The sequence below is a fragment of the Homo sapiens genome, chromosome 7 (genome assembly GCF_000001405.40).
Source record: "Homo sapiens chromosome 7, GRCh38.p14 Primary Assembly".
NCBI classification, from domain to species: Eukaryota; Metazoa; Chordata; class Mammalia; order Primates; family Hominidae; genus Homo; species Homo sapiens.
The window spans coordinates 100,915,554-100,923,130 of NC_000007.14; the positions used below are offsets into that span (position 1 = coordinate 100,915,554).

The window sequence follows — 7,577 nt, forward strand, 5'->3', positions numbered from 1 at the left end:
CGACCTCAGCTCACTGCAAGCTCCACCTCCTGGGTTCACACCATTCTCCTGCCTCAGCCTCCCGAGTAGCTGGGACCACAGGCGCCCGCCACCACACCTGGCTAATTTTTTTGTATTTTCAGTAGAGACGGGGTTTCACTGTGTTGGCCAGAATGGTCTCGATCTCCTGACCTCGTGATCCGCCCGCCTCGGCCTCCCAAAGTGCTGGGATTACAGGCGTGAGCCACTGCACCCGGCCGGTGAGACTCCATCTCTATAAAATAATAATAATAAAAAGAAATCTTTGAACTTGTTTCCTATTGTGATGGTGTCAGAAGCATTTGAACCAGAGCGACCCCATCTTGAGTAGGGACTGGGTAGAATGGGCTGAGACCTGCTGGGCTGCATCCCAAGAGGTTAGGCGTTCTTAGTCACAGGATGAGATAGGATGTAGGTTACAAAGACCCTGATAAAACAGGATGCAATAAAAAAAATGCCAGCCATGGCCACGTGCTTTGGCTCACATCTGTAATCCCAGCACTTTGGGAGGCTGAGGCGGGCGAATCACAAGATCAGGAGTTCGAGACCAGCCTGGCCAACATAGTGAAACCCTATCTCTACTAAAAGTACAAAAAATTAGCCGGGCGTGGTGGCGGGCCCCTGTAATCCCAGCTACTCAGGAGGCTGAGGCAGGAGAATCACTTGAACCCGGGAGGTGGAGGCTGCAGTGAGCTGAGATTGTGCCATTGCACTCCAGCCTGGGCGAAAGAGCAACTCCGTCTCAACAAAAGCCGGCCAAAACTCGCCAAAACCAAGATGGCAACAAGAGTGACCTCTGGCTGTCCTCACTGCTCATAATATGCTAATTATAATACATTAGCTTGCTAAATGGCACTCCCACCAGTGCTGTGACTGTTTGCAAATGCCATAGCAATGCCCAGAAGTTACCCTATATGGTCTAAAAGGGGGAGGAATTCTCAGTTCTGGGAAATTCCTACCCCTCTTCTGGAAAACTCATGAATAATCCACCCCTTCTTTAGCATACGATCAATAAATAACCATTAGAAAATAGCCAACCAACAAAACAAACAAACTAATAAAAAAAGAAGAACAAACAATAAAAAACAAAACGAAACAAAAATGGCCAACCAGCAGCCATCGGGGCTGCTCTGTCTATGAAGCAGCCATTCTCACGTTTTTTCACTTCTGTAATAAACTTGCTTTCACTTCACTCTGTGGACTCACTCCAATTTTTTTATTTTTTTATTTTTTTTATTTTTTGACGGAGTCTCGCTCTGTCACCCAGGCTGGAGTGCAGTGGCATGATCTCAGCTCACTGCAAGCTCCGCCTCCTGGGTTCATGCCATTCTCCTGCCTCAGCCTCCCGAGTAGCTGGGTCTACAGGCATGCCTGTCACCACGCCCGGCTAATTTTTTGTATTTAGTAGAGACGGGGTTTCACCGTGTTAGCCAGGATGGTCTCGATCTCCTGACCTCGTGATCCGCCCGCCTCAGCCTCCCAATGTGCTGGGATTACAGGCGTGAGCCACTGCGCCTGGCCCTTCCAAATTCTTTCTTGCACAAGATCCAAGAACCCTCTCTTGCGGACTGAATTAGGACCTGTTTCCGGTAAAAGTGCTTTCCTGAATTTTCAACTTCCATCTGAAGAACTAGGGGAAATCTGAGGCTGGGTTTTCCCTGGGGCGCCTGGGGGAACATAAGATTGGGCTCCCAGAGCCAGAGAGACCATCCAGCAGGCATAAACTGGACGTGGTGGGTCACACAAAAGCCACGAGGTGTCTGCCAGTATAAGCAAGTTTCCCAAGTAAGGGACCTTTAGGGATCCCTAAGCATTAGGCCATCCATTAGGTAAATAAGTATCCTGTGAAAAGCCCGCTGTGAACACTACACCCAGCTTCCCTTCATTTCTCCTTAAAGCAGGTTTGCTAGCCGCTCTGCTACTGAGACCCTCATGTAGCTCTCAAAGCAGGGTGTCTTTCCATGTTCTTGCTCGCCCCGCTCCCCAGTAGCTTGGGCCTGCCGTGGCTGGTTATGTTAGAGTAGGTATCTAGGCAGACATGAGGAGGGTAGGAGAGGATGCCCCATTCCCTTCCCCAGTAATGTCAAGTGACAAATAGGTGGTGGTCAAGTGGTTGTTAAACTGTCTTTCTGAAATAATAATTGGTTGTAGCTGGCGCCAGGGAAAGGTGGTTTCCCAATAGACAGAAAACACCTGAGGCTGGTGATAAGCAGCTTCCTGATAAGATCTCAGGAGTTGGGTGAGTGGGCTCAAGCATGTGCACTAAGAGGCAACATGGCAGAGTTTAAGTGGTATTTCTTTTTTGTTTTGTTTTTGATGGAGTCTTGCTCTGTCGCCCAGGCTGGAGTGCAGTGGAGTGATCTCGGCTCACTGCAATCTCCAACTCCCAGGTTCAAGGGATTCTCCTGCCTCAGCCTCCCAAGTAGCTGGGATTACAGGTACACACCACAACGCCCAGCTAATTTTTTTTTTTTATTTTTAGTAGAGACGGAGTTTCACCATGTTGGCCAGGATGGTCTTGATCTCTTGACCTCATGATCTGCCTGCCTCAGCCTCCCAAGTGTTGGGATTACAGGTGCGAGCCACCGCGCCCGGCCCCAGCTAGTTTTTATATTTTTAGTAGAGGGGGGTTTCACCATGTTAGCCAGGCTGGTCTTGAACTCCTGACCTCAAGCAATCCTCCTGCCTTGGCCTCCCAAAGTGTTGGGATTACAGGCGTGAGCCACTGCACTTGGCCAACAGATCTATGTCTTCCCAGGAACCCTCAGCTGGTAGGGGAAGAACGCCTCAAACGAGCATGTGCACAACTTCAGTAAATATACTGTTCCCACCCCAAGGGAAAATCAAGGGAGAAGAGACGCAACCCCCGGAACCATGCCAATGTATAAAACCCCAAGTCAGGGGCTCAACAGTGCACTTGAATCTCTCAAGTTGCCTGCTTGGCCCTCTTCCAAGTGTACTTTACTTCCTTTCTTTCCTCTAAAACTTTTTTTAAAAATTTATATTAATTAATTATTTTTGAGACAGAGTCTTGCTGTGTCATCCAGGCTGGAGTGCAGTGGTGTGATCTCAGCTCACTGCAACCTCTGCCTCCTGGGTTCAAGTGATTCTCCTGCCTTAGCCTCCCCAGTAGCTAAGATTACAGGCGCCCGACACCACGCCTGGCAAATTTTCGTATTTTTAGTAGAGACGGGGTTTCGCCATGTTGGCCAGGCTGGTCTTGAACTCCTGGCCTCAAGCAATCCGCCCATCTCAGCCTCCCAAAGTGCTGGGATTATAGGCATGAGCTGTCCCGTGCCCGGCCTCGTTCCTGTTCTAAAACTTTTTAATAAACTCTGACTCCTGCTCAAAAACTTGCCTCAGTCTCTCACTCTGCCTTATGCCCCTCAGAGGAATTATTTCCTTCGAGGAGGCAAGAATTGAATTGCTGCAGACCCGTGTGGATTCGCTGCTGCTAACAAAAGAAGCAACCCATGAAAGGGACACTGCAAACACCATGTCCTTCATTTCCCATTAAAGCAGGGTTACTAGCTGCTCTGCTACGGAAACCCCCATTTAGTTGGGGGCTTTCAAAGCAAGATCTCTTCCCATGTTCTTGCTTTCCTCACCCTGCCAACAGCTTGGGACTGTTCTTGTGGGTTACTTGGTGTGAGGCTCATGGTAGAGGTGTTACAGGAAAGGAGTCCCAATCCAGACCCTTCAAGAGAGGGTTCTTGGATTTTGCATAAGAATTCAGGGTGAGTCCGTAAAGTGAAAGCAAGTTTATTAGGAAAATAAAGAAATAAAATAATGGCCTTTCCATAGACAAAGCAGCCCTGAGGGTGGCTGGTTGACCATTTTTATGGTTGTTTCTTGATGACATGCTAAACAAGGGGTGGATTATTCATGCCTCCTCTTTTTAGACCATATAGCGTAATTTCCTGACGTTGCCATGGCATTTGTAAACTGTCATGGCGCTGGTGGGAGTGTAGCAGTGAGGACGACCAGAGGTCACTCTCTTCACCATCTTGGTTTTGGTGGGTTTTGGCCGGCTTCTTTACTGAAACTAAGGGAGGAGACCACCCTTCATATTGTCTTATGCCCAATTTCTGCCTCCAAAGAAAGAAGAAGTAAAAACTAAAAGGCAGAAATGAAATCCACATTTCATTTCTAAAAGACAGCCCAGTGCCACACACTGGGCCTGGTTGTTAAAGATTGACCCCTGACCTAATTGGTTATGTTATCTATAGATTACAGCTATTGTATAGAAAAGCACTGTGAAAATCCCTGTCCTGTTCCATTCTAATTACCGGTGCATGCAGCCCCCAGTCACGTACCCTCTGCTTGCTCAATCAATCACGACCCTCTCATGCAGACCCGCTTAGAATTGTGAGCTCTTAAAAGGGACAGGAATTGCTGACTCAGAGAGCTCGGTTGTTGGAGACGTGAGTCTTGCTGAAGCTCCTGGCTGAATAAAGCCCTTTCTTCTTTAACTCAGTGTCTGAGGGGTTGTGTCTGCGGCTTGTCCTGCTACAAAACCTGTTTCATCAGCAAGGTCTTTATGACCTGTATCTTGTGCCGACCTTCTATTTCATCCTGTGACTTAGAATGCCTTAACCATCTGAGAATGCACCCAGTAGGTCTCAGCCTCATTTTACCCAGTTCCTATTCAAGATGGAGTTGCTCTGGTTCACCTGCCTCTGACAGAGGCATGGTATTCCATTTCTTCAGGGCTAGTCTCTGTCTCAGGCAAGTTTTTTGCTCCTGGGTCTTGGGGATGGAATTTCTCAGCATATCTGTCCTTCCTCGTGGCAGCCAAACTTTTCCTTTTGTCTTTGGGTTGGTGGGGGTTTTGGCAGGACAGAATTTCTCATCCCTACTCCCATGGTGGCTGACCTCTCTGTATCTGTGCAGGCTTCTGAGTGCAAGCAGCTGTCCTCCCCTCCACCAGGGCACTCAGCTTTGCCTCTAGTTCTTCTTCAGCAGCAGCTAGCTTGGAAAGGAGAGCAGGAGGATGTGTAACCACCTGAGAGGTTCTTCTTGCCTGCTGCGTAAAGAAACACCATGGCATTGTAGTAGAGAAAGAGTTTAATAGACACAAGGCTCGCCATGCCACATGGGAGATGGAGTTAGCATTCAAATCATCTTGTCCAAAGCTTGTATGTTAGGGGTGTCATGGGAAAACGACAGCTGGTGGTGTGGGGTAAAAGAATTTGTGAAGACAGTTGTAAGTAAAGGAAGCCAAATTTATTAGACAAAGTAGGAAAATACACTGCCAGAGAGATAACGGGCTACCAGCAGAAGAGAAACTGACTGCAAAAAACAAAGACTCGCTGGAGATTTTATAGGGTAGTGTTTATGCTCTCTGTTGAAGAGGGCTTTATGTAGTACTGATAACATCAAAGTTGCAGTGAGCTAACTTACAGGTGTCTGGTGATAGCTGGGTGCAGGAAAGGTTGTAAGTTACTTGTGCAGGAGGGCTGTGTGTCCTGGATCATGAAGAAAGACAGACTTGTTGCTTATCTGCTTTCTCTTTTTGCTTTCTCTTGGTTCCACCAGCCTGGTTCCCTTTCCCTAATTAGGACTCCACAAAGGGATGAGGGTGGCCAGGTAATAGGTGCTTGCTGCTGATTGGTTGGGGTGGAGATGAAATTCTGCCTCCTGCAGGCAGAATTGCTTCTGGGCAGGGCCACAGGGGTGGGTTTGGTGGGGGATTCAGGTGGGTTCAGGTGGAGCCATGGATGTCTGACATGCAAAAATCCTGAAAAGACATCTCAAAAGGCCAATCTTAGGACTCAAGCTCCTCTCCTCCAAGCCTGATGGTCTCCCATTGGCTTTACAAAAGGCTTTGGGGAGGAGAGGAGTTTCAGGGCAAGGCCTGTTATCATTTAAATGATAACCTAAAATGTCTTCCAAAGTTAGCTTGGCCCAATAGCCCCCAAATAATCAAGGGAAAGGCAAGGTGGTGCAGGTGGAGGGTGTTAACTCTGCTTACTATTATAATTTTTCTCAGTGATAAAATTTTCACAAAGGCAGTTTTAGGTAGACTACTGATCACTGTCAACTGATGTGTTGACAAAAAGAGTTAAACTCTAAAATATTTAAAGAGATTTATGCTGAGCCAAATATGAGTGACCAAGGCCCATGACATAGCCCCTAAAAGTCCTAAGAACAGGTGCCCAAGGTGGTTGGTTTACAGCTTTTATACATTTTATTTTATTTTATTTTAGGCAGAGTCTCACTCTGTTGCCCAGGCTGGGGTGCAGTGGCACTCACTGCAACCTCTGCCTCTCAGGCTCAAGCAATTTTTGTGCCTCAGCCACCCAAGTAGCTGGGATTACAGGTGTGCATTACCATGTCTGGCTAATTTTTGTATTTTTATTGGAGATGAAATTTCACTATGTTGGCTAGGCTGGTCTCGAACTCCTGGCTTCAACTGATCCTCCTGCCTTGGCCTCCCAAAGCGCTGGGATTACAGGCATGAGCCAGCACCCCTGGCCAATTTTTTTTTTTGAGAGGGAGTCTTTCTCTGTTGCCCAGGCTGGAGTGCAGTGGCACAATCTCAGCTCACTGTAACCTCTGCCTCCTGGGCTCAAGTGATCTCCTGCCTCAGCCTCCTGAGTAGCTGGGATTACAGGTGCCCACCACTATACCCGTTAATTTTTGTATTCTTAGTAGAGATGAGGTTGCACCATGTTGGCCAGGCTGGTTTCAAACTCCTGACTGTCAGGCCTCTGAGCCAAAGCTAAGCCATCATATCCCCTGTGACCTGCACGTATACATCCAGATGGCCTGAAGTAACTGAAGAATGACAAAAGAAGTGAAAATGGCCTTTTCCTGCCTTAACTGATGACATTACCTTCTGAAATTCCTTTTCCTGGCTCATCCTGGCTCAAAAGCTCCCCCACTGAGCACCTTGTGATCCCCACCCCTGCCCACCAGAGAACCCCCCTTTGACTGTAATTTTCCTTTACCTACCCAAATCTTAAAAAATGGCCCCACCCCATCTCCCTTCGTTGACTCTCTTTTCGGACTCAGCCTGCCTGTACCCAGGTGGTTAAAAAGCTTTATTGCTCACACAAAGCCTGTTTGGTGGTCTCTTCACACGGACGTGAGTGAAATTTGGTACCGTGACTCAGATCGGGGGACCTCCCTTGGGAGATCAATCCCCTGTCCTCCTGCTCTTTGCTCCATGAGAAAGATCCACCTACGACCTTGGGTCCTCAGATTGACCACCCAAGGAACATCTCACCAATTTTAAATCGGGTAAGTGGCCTTTTTTCACTCCCTTCTCCAACCTCTCTTAGTATCCCTCAACCTCTTTCTCCTTTCAATCTTGGTGCCACACTTCAGTCTCTCCCTTCTCTTAATTTCAGTTCCTTTCCTTTTCCGGTAGACACAAAGGAGATGCATTTTATCCATGAACCCAAAACTCCGGCACTGGTCACAGACTCAGGAAGAGAGTCTCCCTTGGTGTTTAATCACACGGGGATGCCTGCCTGATTATTCACCCACATTTCAGAGGTGTCTGACCATGTGGGGATGCCTGCCTTGGTCCTTCACCCTTAGTGGAAAGTACC

The 7,577-nt window shown here is 47.9% G+C and overlaps 1 annotated feature.

The window, feature by feature from the left end:
- Positions 1,231-1,340: an enhancer, noted in NCBI's record as "active region_26394". NCBI's record gives its function as "activates an Ori minimal core promoter by ATAC-STARR-seq in GM12878 lymphoblastoid cells {active_cell/tissue: GM12878}" and the evidence as "EXISTENCE:reporter gene assay evidence [ECO:0000049][PMID:35858748]".